This window comes from Homo sapiens, chromosome 12 (assembly GCF_000001405.40).
Source record: "Homo sapiens chromosome 12, GRCh38.p14 Primary Assembly".
NCBI lineage: Eukaryota > Metazoa > Chordata > Mammalia > Primates > Hominidae > Homo > Homo sapiens.
Genome location: NC_000012.12, coordinates 117,199,898 through 117,217,109, shown reverse-complemented (window position 1 = coordinate 117,217,109; position 17,212 = coordinate 117,199,898). Strand labels below are relative to the sequence as shown.

General features: G+C 49.1%; 1 protein-coding gene across 4 annotated transcripts in view, besides 1 other annotated feature; it reads left to right on the top strand.

Moving 5' to 3' along the window:
- NOS1 (nitric oxide synthase 1) overlaps positions 1-8,968 on the top strand; it is a 153,485-nt gene extending 144,517 nt beyond the window's left edge. For all 4 annotated transcript variants that reach the window (NM_000620.5, NM_001204218.2, NM_001204214.2 and 1 more), the window contains one exon: positions 1,786-8,968. In NM_000620.5, coding sequence (NP_000611.1) covers positions 1,786-1,801 — 16 coding nt within the window. In that variant the 3' untranslated portion in view covers positions 1,802-8,968. The remainder of the gene's footprint in view (positions 1-1,785) is intronic.
- Positions 9,210-9,710: an enhancer, noted in NCBI's record as "H3K4me1 hESC enhancer chr12:117645205-117645705 (GRCh37/hg19 assembly coordinates)". NCBI's record gives its function as "activates a minimal SCP1, AML or CMV promoter by ChIP-STARR-seq in primed H9 embryonic stem cells {active_cell/tissue: H9 hESC(primed)}" and the evidence as "EXISTENCE:reporter gene assay evidence [ECO:0000049][PMID:30033119]".

Below are 17,212 nucleotides of genomic sequence, written 5' to 3'. Positions count from 1 at the left end.
AGACTGTGCCCGGGTCTCATGATTTAAACCTTACTTGAATTCTATGGCATGGCAACCTTGATCGTAATTTCACTTCCCAGTGCTCCCCGCCCCAGTCCCTGCCACAGAACCCCTGGAAAGCACCCCTGGACGCCCTTTACTTTAAATTGGGTGGGGACTCAGCTGTCTCTTTTTTCAACAACACAAGGCATACACTCATTTCTTGAATTTGGCATCTTCTTTGTTTTCCCCTTACGATGACACAGCAGTCTCTAAAACATACTGTCGTGGCCAGTAGACTCATATCATTGTCTTTAAGGTCACAAGTCCCTGGGTTGTCAAAAGCCTTTAAGGCCAGGTGTGGTGGCTCACACCTATAATCCCAGCACTTTGGGAAGCTGAGGTGGGTGAATTGCTTGAGCCCAGGAGTTCAAGATCAGCCTGGGCAACGCAAGGAGACCCTGTCTCTACAAATAATTTAAAAATTAGCAGGGCATGGTGACACGCGCCTGTGGTCCCAGCTACTTGGGAGGCTGAAGCAAGAGGATGGCCTGATCCCAGGGAGATCGAGACTGCAGTGAGCCATGATGGCACCACTGCACCCCAGCCTAGGCAACAGAGCAAGACCCTATCTCAAGAGAAAAAAAAAGGCCGGGCGCGATGGCTCACCCCTGTAATCCCAGCACTTCGGGAGGCTGAGGCCGGTGGATCATGAGGTCAGGAGATCAAGACCATCCTGGCTAACACGGTGAAACCCCATCTCTACTAAAAATACAAAAAATTAGCCGAGCGTCGTGGCAGGTGCCTGTAGTCCCAGCTACTCGGGAGCCTGAGGCAGGAGAATGGCATGAACCTGGGAGGTGGAGCTTGCAGTGAGCCAAGATCCCGCCACTGCACTCCAGCCTGGGTGACAGAACAAGACTCCGTCTCAAAAAAAAAAAAAAAATCCCTTTTGACGGGCCCAGTGGCTCACACCTGTAATCCCAGCACCTTGGAAGGCAAAGATGGGTGGATCACTTGAGCCTAGGTGTTCAAGACCAGCCTGGGCAACATGGCAAAACCCTGTCTCTACTAAAAACACAAAAGTTAGCCAGGTGTGGTAGCATGTGCCTATAATCCCAGCTACTCAGGAGGCTGAGACACAGGAATCGCTTGAACCTAGGAGGCAGAGGTTGCAGCCAGCCGAGATCACGTCACTGCACTTCAGCCTGGGCGACACAGTGAGACTCTCAGTCTCAAAAAAAAAAAAAAAAAAAAAAAAGTCCTTTTAAATGTTTCTCTTCCTGGCCAGTTGTACTTGTGAGCATTCATTCATTCATTCATTCTTTCAAAACAAGCCCCTGCTAGGTGCCAGGTCCTGTCCAAGACACTAAGGCTACAGAATAAATGAAAGAGACGGGCCGGGTGCAGTGGCTCACGCCTGCAATCCCAGCACTTTGGGAGGCTGAGGCGGGCAGATCACCTGAGGTCAGGAGTTTGAGACCAGCCTGGCCAACATGGTGAAACTCCATCTCTACTAAAAATACAAAAATTAGCCGGGCGTGGTGGCAGGCACCTGTAATCCCAGCTACTTGGGAGGCTAAAGCAGGAGAATCGCTTGAACCCTGCTGGGATTGCAGTGAGCTGGGATCGTGCCACTGCACTCCAGCCTGGGTGACAGAGCGAAACTCCGTCTCAAAAAAAAAAAAAAAAGAAAGAGACAAAGCCCCTGAGCCCAGAGCATGGGTGATTTTCTCTGGGGCACTCAGAGGAAACAGCAGCCTTGCCCTTGGGGCACTAACTGCCCCCCAACTTCTCTTTCCACAGGGTTTTCAGCTCCTAACTGGACCCTCTTGCCCAGCCGGCTGCAAGTTTTGTAAGCGCGGACAGACACTGCTGAACCTTTCCTCTGGGACCCCCTGTGGCCCTCGCTCTGCCTCCTGTCCTTGTCGCTGTGCCCTGGTTTCCCTCCTCGGGCTTCTCGCCCCTCAGTGGTTTCCTCGGCCCTCCTGGGTTTACTCCTTGAGTTTTCCTGCTGCGATGCAATGCTTTTCTAATCTGCAGTGGCTCTTACAAAACTCTGTTCCCACTCCCTCTCTTGCCGACAAGGGCAACTCACGGGTGCATGAAACCACTGGAACATGGCCGTCGCTGTGGGGGTTTTTTTCTCTGGGGTTCCCCTGGAAAGGCTGCAGGAACTAGGCACAAGCTCTCTGAGCCAGTCCCTCAGCCACTGAAGTCCCCCTTTCTCCTTTTTTATGATGACATTTTGGTTGTGCGTGCCTGTGTGTGTGTGTGTGTGTGTGTGTGTGTGTGTGATGGGCCAGGTCTCTGTCCGTCCTCTTCCCTGCACAAGTGTGTCGATCTTAGATTGCCACTGCTTTCATTGAAGACCCTCAATGCCAAGAAACGTGTCCCTGGCCCATATTAATCCCTCGTGTGTCCATAATTAGGGTCCACGCCCATGTACCTGAAACATTTGGAAGCCCCATAATTGTTCTAGTTAGAAAGGGTTCAGGGCATGGGGAGAGGAGTGGGAAATTGATTAAAGGGGCTGTCTCCCAATGAAAGAGGCATTCCCAGAATTTGCTGCATTTAGATTTTGATACCAGTGAGCAGAGCCCTCATGTGACATGAACCCATCCAATGGATTGTGCAAATCCCCTCCCCAAACCCACCCATACCAGCTAGAATCACTTGACTTTGCCACATCCATTGACTGACCCCCTCCTCCAGCAATAGCATCCAAGGGGCCTGGAAGTTATGTTGTTCAAAGAAGCCTGGTGGCAATAAGGATCTTCCCACTTTGCCACTGGATGACTTTGGATGGGTCACTTGTCCTCAGTTTTTCCTAGTCATAATGTCATACGAACCTAAAGAATATGAATGGATTAAATGTTAAAGCTTTGGTGCCTGGAAACAATATCAAGTAACAATATGATTATTATTTTTTTATTCCCCCAAAGCGGGCTTGCTGCTTCACCCTTGGGGATGAAATAATGGAAGCTGGTTAAAGTGGATGAGGTTGGAAAGAGTTGCCATAATGAGGTCCCACGTGGCTTCTTCGATAGGAGCCACAACTTGGGGTGGGAAGAACTTGTCCCTCAGGCTTGTTGCCCTCTGCAGTTGATCTCCAAAGTTTTAAACCTGTTAAATTAATTTTGACAAATAAGTTACCCTCAACTCAGATCAAAAATGGGCAGCCAAGTCTTCGGTAGGAATTGGAGCCGGTGTAATTCCTCCCTAAGAGGCAACCTGTTGAATTTACTCTCTCAGAGTAAATGGTGGGAAGGGATCCCTTTGTATACTTTTTTAAATACTACAAATTAGTGTCAGGCAGTTCCCAGAAAGAGACAAGAAATCCTAGTGGCCTCCCAGACTGCAGGGTCCCCAAGGATGGAAAGGGAATGTTCTGCTGGTTCTACCCTGTTTGTTGTGTCTTGCTATACAGAAAAACCACATTTCTTTTATATACTGTACGTGGGCATATCTTGTTGTTCAGTTTGGGTGTCTGCTAAAGAGGAAGTGCACTGGCCCTCTTTGAAAGGGCTTTACAGTGGGGGCACCAAGACCCCAAAGGGCCCAGGCCAGGAGACTGTTAAAGTGAAAAGGCAATCTATGACTCACCTTGCTCTGCCATCCCTGGCAGCCCCCACCGGTGTCCTGTTCCTGCCACATGGAGCTTGACTTCATGCCAGCTATAATCTCCCCTGCCTTCCTTTAATCCCAATTTCCCCTGCTCACTCTTCCACAGATATAAAGAACAAACACTTAGCATCCCACACTCACCCCTTCTAATCCTGAAGGGAAGCCCATTCTAAACTCCTTTCCTGCAAACCCATTTCCAGCTCCTAGTAGCTTTCCTCCCAAAGGCTTTCTTTCCAATCCTTTATAGCTTTGGAGACGCCTCCCCAATTCCCCAGGGAAGGAAACTGTTGTGTCCAATCCCCATTAAAGACAAATTGATCAGTGCTTCCCACTCCAAGTCAAGCTTTATGCAGGAATGCTTTTCCATCAGGGAATAAATACTTAGAAGCGCTTACAAGGTGCCAGGCACCTCCTTTCTGCATGTGCCTGCCTTTCTAGTAGCAGACAGATGGAAACATTGTCTCATTTTGTCAAGGAGTCCAAAGAAATGATTATAAAACCAGGATTCATCCTTCTTCTCCAGAAAGATTTTTTTTTAAGTAAACACCTTTCAATCCCCAACACAAGCTGCTTCACAACTCCAGGCTAGAAGGCAGGAGAGCGATCTGATGTGTTTCTTTCATTTGCCAGAATTCCTGATACCAAAAGCCTCTCTCTCTGTTGAGTAACCTCTCAAGGACCAGAGTGGAGTCCAGATTGTTAGGCTCAGATCAAGGGTGGGGAAATACTGCCCTCTCGTGGTGGCTTTTCATCCAGGCCTCGTAGCCAACCGTTTAAGTGCAAAATAGAATTAAGCAATGGGTAAGCAAAATAGGGTTGACAAGATATTTGGGGGTTATTCGGGTTATGGCCCATTTATTTCCCTCTTCCCCCTGAATTGACCAGTAGCAGCTCCAGCCCCATTTCACAAAAGTGAGTTTGGCCAGGAGGAATGAGACGTCTCCTGAAATAGGAACACCGGAACATCATGCTCACCTGCCATCACTATGCATCCAGTTCCCACAGCTTGTGTCGTGAAAGAGCAGAGAGATGATGTTAAACTCCTTGGGAGGAGAGAGGGCTTCTTTTGGTTTCCCTGGAGTGAGACAGCCAGGTGTCTTTCTTTTGCGGGGGGACACTTCAGACCCATCAATATGGAATTTTGGGAGCCGACCTGAGTGCAAATCCTAATTCTGCCCCTGTTGGTGCAGATGGCTGTGGGCGGCTCACTTGACCTTTTAGAGTCTGCATACCCACCTGTATAACAAGGTGGATTGAATGAGACAATGCCCACGAAATGCCCAGTTACAGTACCTGGTTCAAAACTTACTGCATTTTAATTTTTCACTTAACTTATAACATGTCTTGCTTCTCCAGTGTGTGGAAGGCACCGGGCAGTTTGCAGAGATAAGCAAAACACAGTTCCTCTCGTGCAGAAGGTTAGAATCTATTTTTTTTTTTGACAGAGTCTTGCTCTGTCACCCAGGCTGGCGTACAGTGGTACGATCTCAGCTCACTGCATCCTCTGCCTCCCCCAGTTCAAGTGATTCTTCTGCCTCGGCCTCCTGAGTAACTGGGACTACAGGCGCCTACCACCACGCCCAGCTAAGTTTTGTATTTTTAGTAGAGTCAGGGTTTCACCATGTTGGCCAGGCTGGTCTTGAATTCCTGACCTCAAATGATCCACGCACCTCAGCCTCCCAAAGTGCTGGATTACAGGCATGAGCCACCACGCCCAGCCAAAGGTTATAATCTGATGGAGAGAGACACCCGTCTTGGAACTGACATAAATTTCTGGGGTTTGAGAAATGGGCGGGATTTCACTGGTAGCTTCTGGAAGGTAAGAGTTGTCCAGGAATTGGGAAGAGTGAGAGGAAAGGCACGGACAGGGAGCATGTAAGATAAATTGAGGCTGGCTTTGGAAGGCTGAGGAGGGTGAGAAAAGGTGGGCTGGGACCAGACCGTGGGGAGAGGTGAGTGGCATTACAAGAAATTTAGGCTTTATTCAGAAGGCAACAGGGAGTCCCTAAGAATGTTTTTCAAAAAGGGACATTAAGGCGATTGGAGTTATACTTGGAAAAGAAAGTTCTGGCCACAGTACAGAGCATGGCCCGTTGAGCTGTTGGGGGGGTTATTGCTGCAACCAAGGCTTGAGTGAGGGAAGAGGCGGATGTAGTGATAAAGAGACTCCAGGAACTGAATCAGCGTACCTGGCACCCCATCCATTGTAGAGGGTGAGAATAAAGGAGAAATTAAAGCATCTTGCAGGCTGGGCGCGGTAGCTCATGTCTGTAATCCCAGCACTTTGGGAGGCCGAGGTGGGTGTATCAGTTGAGGTCAGGAGTTGGAGACCAGTCAGCCAGTTAGTAGAAACCCTGACTCTACTAAGAAAATACAAAAATTAGCTGGGCATGGTGGCATGCGCCTGTAGTCTCAGCTACCTGGGAGGCTGAGGAAGGAGGATCGCTTGAGCCCAGGAGGTGGAGGCTGCAGTGAGCCAAGATTGTACCACTGCACTCCAGCCTGGGTGACAGAGCAAGACTCTTATCTCAAAAAAAATAAAATAAAATAAAATAAAATAAAACATCTTGCCCCTAGCTGAGAGAGAGGTCTCTGAAGAGCAGGCTCAGGGAAAAGATGAGTTTTCAGAGCTGATGTGATAGTCAGCTTCTCTGGAGTCAACAGGGTGAATCCTTCCCAAGTCCAGCCATGCCCAGATGCCCGGAGGGAAAACTGACCCCCAGCCAGTAGACATTGGCTAAGAACACAGAATCTTCTGACCAAACACGCTTTCAGCAGCTGCCTGCTCTGGACTTTGAAAGAGGTCAGGTCTTGCCCTAAGCTCAAAACAAGTGAGAGGTGTCCTGACCTAGCTCATAGGGCAAATGGTCCTAATAGGATGGGCAATCCAGATGCCTGAGCCCCTTCACTCCGACAGCACCAGCGCCTAATGCAGCCTTTTCATTCTTGCCATTAGGAAATCTGTGGACTTCTAGCCTGTGTTTTAAACCAGCCATGTTTCCTTGTATATTTCCCTACCCGCTGCCCCACATACCCAGCATGCCGCTGTGGCCACCATGTCCTCAAAGCCTTCTGTCTGTATCAGGAATGTAGTCTGAGACTGCCAGGAAGCAACAAGGAGAGAGAAACACTAACTAGTCTTCCTTTATAACCCATTCATACTCTCTGGCTGTCCCCAACCTTCATAGTCTCCTGCATCCAAATGTCCTCTTTGGCTCAAAAAGTAGGCCAGGCATGGTGGTTCATGCCTGTAATAGCACTTTGGGAGACTGAGGTGGGAGGATCACTTGGGGCCAGGAGTTTGAGACCAGCTTGGGCAACACAGCGCAATCTCGTCTCTACTAAAAAAAAAAAAAAAAAAAAATTAGCTGGGCATGATGGCATGCTCCTGTGGTCCCAGCTACTTGGGAGGCTGAGGCAGGAGGATCACTTGGTCCCAGGAGTTTGAGGCGACAGTGAGCTAGGATCGCACCACTGCACTCCAGCCTGAGTGACAGAGCAAGACCCTGTCTCTAAAAAAAATTAAAATGAAAGACCAGGTGCTGGGATTAAGGAAACACAGGTCTGAGGGTCTGAGGGAAGGGGCCTGCCTCCCAGGGAGTCAACATAGATGTTCCCCATGAACAGGGATTTGACTTTGGAGGCCAACCTGGCCTGGCCTCTGCCCTTTATCTCACACTCCCTATCCTTGGCCCACTGCCAGTCCCTGCCTTGTGGCAAAGGGGCCCCAAAAGAAAAGCTGCCCTTCCCCAAATGTAAGGACCCAGGTACACTTTCACCCGTGGAAAGCAGTGTCTGTCGAGAGTCTGTTTCCTATTAATACTTATCAAAGCCATGTGCGAGGGAGGTGGTCAGCTGTCAATATGCCTTAGTATGTTTATATGAGTTTGTTTTGTTCTAAAATACCCAAACAGTTCTGGTCAAGCGGGGCTATGCCCGTCTGGCCCAAAACACAGTCCGTTATTAACGAGATGGCCCTGGCAGGCGGGAACAAATCTGCCTCCATGCACTGCTTCCTGTAGTCTTTTAGAAAGTAACTCCAGGACATCGAAGTGCCCAGATTTGACTCCTAAGTTCTAGGAGACTGTAGCGCAGGGTCTGTCAACCTTAGCACTATTGGCATTTGGGGCTGGGTAATTCTTTCTTGTGGGGGCCGTCTTGGGTACTGTAGGAAGCTGAGCAGCATTCCTGGCCTCCATCCACAAGATACCTGTAGCAGTGTCCTGCCAACGGTAACAATCAAGTATGTCATCAGACATTGCCCAATGTCCCCAGGGGGCAACACCCCTCTCTTGGACTTCAGGGTCAAGAGAATCTCTGCTGGCTACCCCAGGACTTCTCATTATAGATTTCCTGGAGCACGCAGCAGAAACTTTGCCTAGCCCAGTGGTTGTTTCCATTATCTGCTGCCAAAGTGGGATTTGAGGGTGTCCGGGGGAGGGGGCATGGGGAGGGCAGTATGCTTTCAAAAACCCCTCCCAGGCCAGGCGTGGTGGCTCATGCCTGTAATCACAGGACTTTGGGAGGCCGAGGCTGGCAGATCACTTGAGGCTGGGAGTTAGAGACCAACCTGGCTAACATGGCAAAACCTCGTCTCTACTAAAAATACAAAAATCAGCCCGGCGTGGTGGCGGGCATCTGTAATCCCATCTACTCGGGAGGCTGAGGCAGGAGAATTACTTGAACCCAGGAGGCAGAGGCTGCAGTGAGCCGAGATGGCACCACTGCACTCCAGCTTGTTGACAGAATGAGACCCTGTGGAAAAAAAAAAAAAAGCCCTCCCATGCCAGAACAGAGGATGGCAGTCTGTTTCAATAAGACACTGTGTCCTTGGTGTTGGTTCTGATTAAGACTCACTGAGATCCAGTGCTCTTGAGCTGGGTCTCAGTCCCCTCCCATGTCCTGTGCTCTGCCGCCACTGTTTTCATTGTTGTGTTCTCGTTGTGATTGTTAAGACTCACACTCCTGGCTCAGCAGTGGTTTTCCAGAAGGCCCAAAGAGCGGTGCCGGGCACCCCACGTCGCAGTGTCCGTTCCGGGCTTGGGAAGCTGGGGAGGTGGGCAGACCTGGTCGCATCTCACCACACACACACACACACACACACACACACACGCTGTCAGAAACTCGGCCGTCCCCCCTACCTCTGAGCTCTCAATGCTGCTAATCTCTGCCAAGTGTCCCTGTGCTCCAGCACCTTCCTTGAAGGACTGACGCCCACCCCACGCTCTTTGCGAGGTTGTCCAGGCTGTGTTTGTCGCATGCTCTTCTTCTGTATAGTTCTCATCTTCCAATTTTATGGGATTCAACAAAAGCCTATTATGCTTGTTTGCATTATGGTTACAATATTAAAAAGTGGATTCAACTTGGCTGGCTGCTGTCTTCTGTTGGATTTGCTTGGAGTTTCTCACACTTTGGCCTGCTGTCCTGGGTTGGGTGCCCCAGAAGCCTGCTCTGAGATGGAGTTGGCAGGAGGCTGACAAGAGAGTGCTCTTGGGGAGGAGAGGGGAGAGAAGGGAAGGGGAGAAGAGAGGAGAAGGGAGTGAAGGGGAGGAGAGAGGAAGAGAAGGGAGGGGAGAGAGTGAGAGGGGAGGGTAAGGGAGGAGAGGGGAGGGGAGGAGAGAAGAGGGAAGAGAGGAAGGGACAGGGGAGAGGGAAAAGAAAGACCAGGGAAGGAGCGGGAGCGGGAGGGGAGGGAGGGAAAAGAGGGGAAGAGGAGGGAGGGTAGAGGAGGGAGAAGAAGGAGAGAAAAGAGGAGGAGGAGAAGGAGCAGAGAGGAGGGAAAGCAAGAAGAGAGGAAAAGAGGGAGGGGAGAAGAAAACTAAGGGAAGAAGAGAGAAGGGGAGGGGAAGGAGGAGGCAGAAGTGAAGGGCAGGGGGAGAGGAGGGGAGGGGAGGAGGCCTCTCTGGTCAGAGGCAAAGCTGAGCTGCCATAAGTCTCAACAGAAGCTTCAGCCAGCCCTGCAGGGCATTCTAAAGGTGACCTTTCAGAGGTGTCCCGATTTGGGACTGGAAGGCAGGATTTTAGACCCGTACATCTTGAGTCAGGCAACTCTCACCAGCAGAAGCCACACCCAAGGGGCTGAAGGCTGAGGGTGCTCCCGGCAGCCAGGGGACTCGTTCCTGAGTCCCGATGCAGATCTGGGTGGCGTAGCTGAGCGTCCTCTCTGCCCGCCTCCCCAACACCCCCTTTTCCTCCAGCACAGCTGCATCCATAGCCAGGGCCCCAGAGAAACAGTAAGACCTTCACCCTCAGCCCTCTTCCATTTAGGGCCCTCCTCCCTGAGGACCCTAAACTCTAATTCCTGGCTGGTTTCAGGCCCAGTTCCAAAACAAAGAGACCTCAAAAGCAGTAAAAGAATAGATGAAGAGACCGGACGCGGTAGCTCACGCCTGTGATCCCAGCACTTTGGGAGGCCGAGGCGGGCAGATCACATGAGGTCAGGAGTTTGAGACCAGCCTGGCCAACATGGCAAAACCCCATCTCTACTAAAAATACAAAAATTAGCCAGGCATGGTGGTGCACACCTGTAGTCCCAGCTACTCAGGAAGGTGAGAGGCAGGAGAATCACTTGAATCCGGGAGGCGGAGGATGCAGTGAGCCAAGACCACACCATTGCACTCCAGCCTGGGCAACAAGAGAGAAACTCCATCTCAGAAAAAAAAAAAAAAGAAAAAATAGATGAAGAAGTGCTGATGTCAAATGCCCGACAGATTTGTGACCATAAAGGAATAAACTAGCAGTTGGGTTTGATGCAGGGGGATGAGGCTTCATCATGCCCTTCCAGACATGGCGATTTGGATGCTGTGACTAGACATTTCAGCTTTTTTATTTATTTTATTTTTTATTTTTTTGAGCCAGACTCTCGCTCCATCGCCATCGCCCAGGCTGGAGTGCAGGGCACTATCTCAGCTCACTACAACATCCATCCCAGGTTCAAATGATTCTCCTGACTCAGCCACCCAAGTATCTGGGATTACAGGCATCCGCCACAATACCCGGCTACATTTTTTGTATTTTTGTTAGAGACGGGGTTTCACCATGTTGGCCAGGCTGGTCTCAAATTCCTAACCTCAGGTGATCTGCCTGCCTCAGCCTCCCAGAGTGCTGGGATTACAGGCGTGAGCCACTGCACCCAGCCGACATTCAGGTTTTTTTAAATTACCAAGTAGCTTATTCAACTCATTGCCCACCCCACCTGCACACATACATCACTCCTGACTCCTCCATCCCATCCCTGAGCCTCATGCCTAAGTTCAAGTGTGGGATGAAGATCAGAGACAGAGCAGGAGTCAGGGAACTCCATGCCCTACTTACTGTCCTACAACAATGTATTAGCCAATTTTAAGAAGGGCTAACAGTTATTAAAAGCCAGTCTTAGTGGGCGCAGTGGCTCATGCCTGTAATCCCAACACTTTGGGAGGCTGAAGTGGGAGGATTGTTTGAGCCCAGGAGTTGAAGCCAGCCTGGGCAACATAGTGAGACCCTGTCTCTACAAAAAATACAAAAATACAGCCGGGCGCAGTGACTCATGCCTGTAATCCCAGCACTTTGGGAGGCTGAAGTGGGGGGATTGCTTGAGCCCGAGAGTTCAAGCCAGGCTGGGCAACATAGTGAGACCCTGTCTACAAAAAATACAAAATACAGCCGGGCGCAGTGGCTCATGCCTGTAATCCCAGCACTTTGGGAGGCCAACGTGGGTGGATCACCTAAGGTCAGGAGTTCAAGACCAGCCTGGCCAACATGGCGAAACCCCCATCTCTACTAAAAATACAAAAATTAGCTGGGTGTGGTAGCACACACCTGTAACCCCAACTACTCAGGAGGCTGAGGCAGGAGAATCGCTTGAACCCAGGAAGTGGAGGTTTCAGTGAGCCCAGATTGCACCACTGCACTCCAGCCTGTGTGAAAGAGTGAGAATCTGTCTCAAAAAAAAAAAAAAAAAAAAAAAAAAGCTGGGTGTGGTGGTGTGCTCCTGTAGTCCCAGGTGTAGCCGTAGTCCCAGCTACTCAGAAGGCTGAGGTGGGAGAATTGCTTGAGCCTGCGAGGTCAAGCCTGCAGTGAGCCGTGATTATGCCACTGCACTCCAGCCTGGGCAACAGAGTGAGTCAGGCAAAAAAGAAAAAAAGAAAAAAAAGCTAATCTTGACAAGAATGCTTTGACATGTTACGATTTACTCTCCTCCAATTTAAAGCTTGGGTAACTGACGTGCAAGGGGATCAGACAGTTTATGCAAGGCTAACATAGCATGCTAATGTTAGAGGTGAGATTTGAACCCAAGCTGTGCAGCCGAAGAAGCCGCATTCCTATCCACCCCCCCATGCTGTCACTAAGACACCCGGACTGTCTTGGTTCAAATCCCAGCTCCTCCACTTTCTAACTATGCAACTTTGGGTAAGTTACCCATCCTTTCTAGACTTCCATTTCTTCACTGTGAAATCAGTTATGATCGTTTCTACGCCATTGGTTTGCGATAGGGTTAAATGAGTTAATATTTGCAATATGCTTAGGGCAAGACAGGATGGAATGGAATGGAGTAGAATAGGTAGATAAAATAAGGCCCCAGCTTTGGTGCCTTCCAGCCTTCTCAAGCTTTTGTGTCTTCTAGAAGTTCCAACAGCCCATCTTGAAGTTATTTGATACTTAAGCACTGAGTTTCTCAAGCCTCCTCGGACCACCTGCAGTTACAGGGATCTCTCCTTTTAAAAGCCGGTGCCGCTAGGCATGGTGGCTTATGCCTGTAATCCCAACACTTTGGGAGGCCAAGGCGGGCGGATCACGAGGTCAGGAGTTTGAGACCAGCCTAGCCAACGTAGTGAAACCCTATATCTCTATTAAAAATACAAAAATTAGCTGGGCATGGTGGTGTGTACCTATAGTCCCAGCTACTCTGGAGGCTGAGGCAGGAGAATTGCTTGAACCCGGGAGGTGGAGGTTGTGATGAGCCAAGATCATGCCACTGCACTTCAGCCTGGGTGACAGAGTGAGACTCCGTCTCGAAAAAAAAAAAAAAAAAAAAAGCCAGTGCCTGGGCATCTCCCTGACCTGTCCAGGGAAAGTCTCGGACATCTTCATGTCTAACCAGATCTCGGCATGACTTACATACACACTGGAGTTTCAACAGGCTCTGCCCCAGAGGCAGCCGGGAACAATTTAACATTATATGCATCTCAACCAAATGACTTCTGTTTCCTGGCAACCACGTAAAAAACCCGAGTCTGCACCAAAACAGAACCTTCCCAAGTACAAATCAGAAAGAGAAGCAGGTGGGAAACAAGTGGTGGGGGAGGGAATATAAAAATATTTTTGAGTCACTACAAATGAACATAGAATATGGGCTTCACAGCCCCTTACAGAGTCAAAATGTGTTTATTTGTTTGTGGTACCCTCCACAAGATTACCAGGAAATCAAAAACAGGCAAAGTCTTTACAACCAGGTGAATCAACATAGTGTTTGATACATATCACTAAAAGGAAATAGCTTTAGGGATGGCCTCTAGAGGAAAATGAGGTTACGTTAATCAGACAGCAGAAGAGTTGAGACCTGAGTAATTGGTTATTGGTTAAGTGATTATTTATTTATTTTATTTATTTATTTATTTATTTAATTTTATTTATTTTTATTTTTATTTTTATTTGAGATGGAGTCTCGCTCTGTCACCCAGGCAGGAGTGCAGTGGCACCATCTTGGCTCACTGCAACCTCCGCTTCCTGGGTTTCAAGCAATTCTCCTGCCTCAGCCTCCCGAGTAGCTGGGATTACAGATGTACGCCACCACACCTGACTAATTTTTGTATTTTTAGTAGAGACAGGTTTTTGCCATGTTGGCCAGGCTGATCTCAAACTCCTGACCTCAGGTGATCCGCCCGCCTCAGCCTCCCAAAGTGCTGAGATTACAGGTGTGAGCTACCTCGCCCAGCCAGGTAAAGTGATTCAAAAAACAAAAACAAAACAAAAAAACCCTCAAATTTCTTCGTACTACTAGACTCAGGGATGGGGATACAGAGGTGAGTGATCTCCTGGCCTTCATGCATCTAGGTTTTCTCTGCTGGCACCCGGAGTTGACATGGGAAGCCTCACTCCCTTGGCCCCTTGCTAATTTACTGTGACCAAGAATTTTAAGATATTCAGGGGTGATGTTTTCCACTCTCCTCCTCTCTCCTTCAATTCCTTTTCTCATAAACAAAGGAACTACCAGATAAAGCAACGATTAAGTTTGAGAAAGCCAGCTGGGTGCCGTGGCTCACGCTTGTAATCCCAGCACTTTGAGGGGCCAAGGCAGGCGGATCACTTGAGGTCAGGAGTTTGAGACCAGCCTGGTCAACATGGTGAAAACTTGTCTCTACTAAAAATACAAAAATTAGCTGGGCATTGTGGTGTGCGCCTGCAGTCCCAGCTATTCAGGAGGCTGAGGCAGGAGAATCACTTGAGCCCAGGAGGTGGAGGTTGCCGTGAGCCAACGTCATGCCACTGCACTCCAGCCTGGGCGACAGATCGAGGCTCCATCTCAAAATAAAAAAAACAAGTTTGAGAAAGCTTCAGAGACACGCAATAAACTCAAAGTGTAGTATCTGTGGTATTAATTCAACATAATGCAGCGAGTCACCAAATCCGTTTAGTCTTGAACGTTTCGAAAAGAGTCTCTAATGGAAAGGCTGTTATTAGCAGAACGCTGCCGGCAAAGTCTACAGGGAGAGAGACACCTGTTCCGTTTCCCTCCAGGCTGGTGGTATTGCCTTCCTTGGAAAGCACATGCTGCCCCCAGAGTGCCCTTCCTAAAACATCTCTTTCATCCCGTCATGCCTTTGCTCAAAGTCATTCGGTGCCACTAGGGATCAGAGGAGGAAGGGCCAGTTCCTCTGGCCAACAGTCAGTGTTTGTGTGACCACAAGTGGCCCTTTTTGGCTTCCCTTTCTTCCTCAGCTCTGCCCAAGTCTACTTTTCTGGGCTGATCCACCTCGGTGGTTCTAAACACAGCTTTTCTTTTCCTTCCCATGGGGCCTTTGCCTCTGCCACTCCCCACTACCTGGAAACCCACCCTCCTCTCTTATTTCTGTTGGTAACCATTTCTATTGCTGAGGGTTTGATTCAAACAGCCCCTTTGTGGGCTCCTGCCTGTAGCCTCTGGCTATGCTGCTTGTCAATACCAATCACTTTGCACCCAGGAAGTGTTGCTTGGCAATAGTTGTCTGTGTACGTGTCTGTGCGTATGTCCTGTCTGCCTCTTTGTACCAGTCAGCTCTTGCCACGCTAATGCTGAGTAACAAACAGCCACGAAATCTCCCTGGCATACTGCATTATTGCTGCAGAGGTTGGAGGGGTGCAGCTGTGAGTGAGGGAATGCGAGTGGCCTTCACAAGCTGAAAAGACAAAGAACAGATGTCCATCGAGAGCTTCCAGTGGGAACACAGCTCTGTTAAACACTTCGATTTTAGCCCTGAAAGAGCCACGGGGGACTCCTGACGTACAGAGCTGTAAAATAATAACATTGCGTGGTTTGAAGCTACTAGATTGTAGTAGTTTGTTAGAGTAACTGAAGAAAGCTAGTATATTAGCTAGGCATGGTGGCTCACGCCTGTAGTCCCAACTACTTGGGAAGCTGAGGCAGGAGGATCCCTCGGGCCCAGGAGGCTGAGGCTGCAGTGAGCAGTGATTATACCACTGCCCTCCAGCCTGGAAAAAAGAGTGAGACCCCATCTCAAAAAAAAAAAAAAGAAAAGAAAAAGAAAAAAGAAAGAAAGGAAAGCTGGCCAAGCGTGGTGGCTCACACCTATAATCCCAGCACTTTGGGAGGCCGAGGCAGGCAGATCACAAGGTCAGGAGTTTGAGACCAGTCTGGCCAATATAGTGAAATCCCATCTCTACTAAAAATACAAACATTAGTCAGGCATGGTGGTGGGCGCCTGTAGTCCCAGCTACTCTGGAGGCTGAGGCAGGAGAACTGCTTGAACCCAGGAGGTGGAGGTTGCAGTGAGCTGAAATCGCGCCACTGCACTCCAGCCTGGGTGACAGAGCAAGACTCTGTCTCAAAACAAAACAAAACAAAACACACACACACACACACACACAAAAGGGAAAGGAAAGCTAAGGCCGGGCGCGGTGGCTCACGCCTGAAATCCCAGCACATTGGGAGGCCGAGACAGGTGGATCACCTAAGGTCAGGAGTTCAAGACCAGCCTGGCCAACATGGTGAAACCCCGTCTCTACTAAAAATACAAAAAATTAGCACCTGTAATCCCAGCTATTTGGGAGGCTGAGGCAGGAGAATTGCTTGAACTTGGGAAGTGGAAGTTGCAGTGATCAGAGATCCACGTCACTGCACTCCAGCCTGGGCAACAAGAGAGAAACTCCTTAAAAAAAAAAAAGAAAAAGGAAAGCTAATACAAAATATGAATTAAATCTGTATTCATTGACTGTTACTACTGTTCTAGAGGAGAATCCATTTCTTTGCATTTTCCAGGTTCTGGAAGCCTCCCACATTCCTTGACTCACTGCCCAGCATCACTCCAACCTCTGCTTCCGTTATCCCACCTCATCCTCTGCCTCTGACCCTCCTGCTTCCCTCTTATGAGAACCCTTGGGATGACACTGGATCCACCCAGATAATCCAGGATCATCTCCTCTTCTCAAGATTCCTTAACTTAATCACATCTGAAAAGCCCCCTTTTGCCACATAAGGTAACATATTCACAGTTCTCGGGCATTAGAACCTGGACATGTTTGGGGATCATTTCCAGCTTAACACAGCCCATCCTCTGGCTCCCAATGATTCATGTCCACCCCACACACAAAATACAGTCAGCTCAATTGATTCGCTTGTAGGATGCATTCATCCATTCCATAGAAATAGAATGAGGACCTATTATGTGGCAGACTCTGGTAGATCAACCAGTAGCACTCACATTACAGAAGAAGGACAGGGACAATAAGTAAGCTTTTATTTATTTATTTATTTATTTATTTATTTTATTTATTTATTTATTTTTTGAAACAGAGTCTCACTCTATCGCCCAGGCTGGAGTGCAATGGCACGATCTCTGCTCACTGCAACCTCCGCCTCCCAGGTTCAAGCGATTCTCATGCCTCAGCCTCACGAGTAGCTGTGATTACAGGTGCCTGCCACCACAGCTGCCTAATTTTTGTATTTTTGGTAGAGACAGGGTTTCACCATGTTGTCCAAGCTGGTCTCAAACTCCTGACCTCAAGTGATCAGCCCATCTCGGCCTCATTTCAGCCTCCTAAAGTGCTGGGATTACAGGCGTGAGCCACTGAGCCTGGTTCATAAGGAAGCTAGAAGGAGAAGAAGAAAGAAGAAGGAGGAGGAAGAGGAGGAGGAGGAGAAGGAGGAGGAGGAGGGGAAGGGGAGGAGGAGGAGGAGGAAAGAGGAAGAAGTGGAGGAGGAGTGGGTAGGAAGAAGAATGTTAGTGATGATTAAGTAATTTTTGGAGGAAAAAAAAACAGGGAAAAAAGTGACTGTTTAAATAGAGTGGTCAGGGAAGTCTTCAGCAATAAGGTGGCTCTGAGGGGACAATGAGGGGGAGCAAACCCTGCACATAACGGGGTTGATTAGCTGGTCAGAAAGTGTCTCTGCAGGACAACATGAGATGTC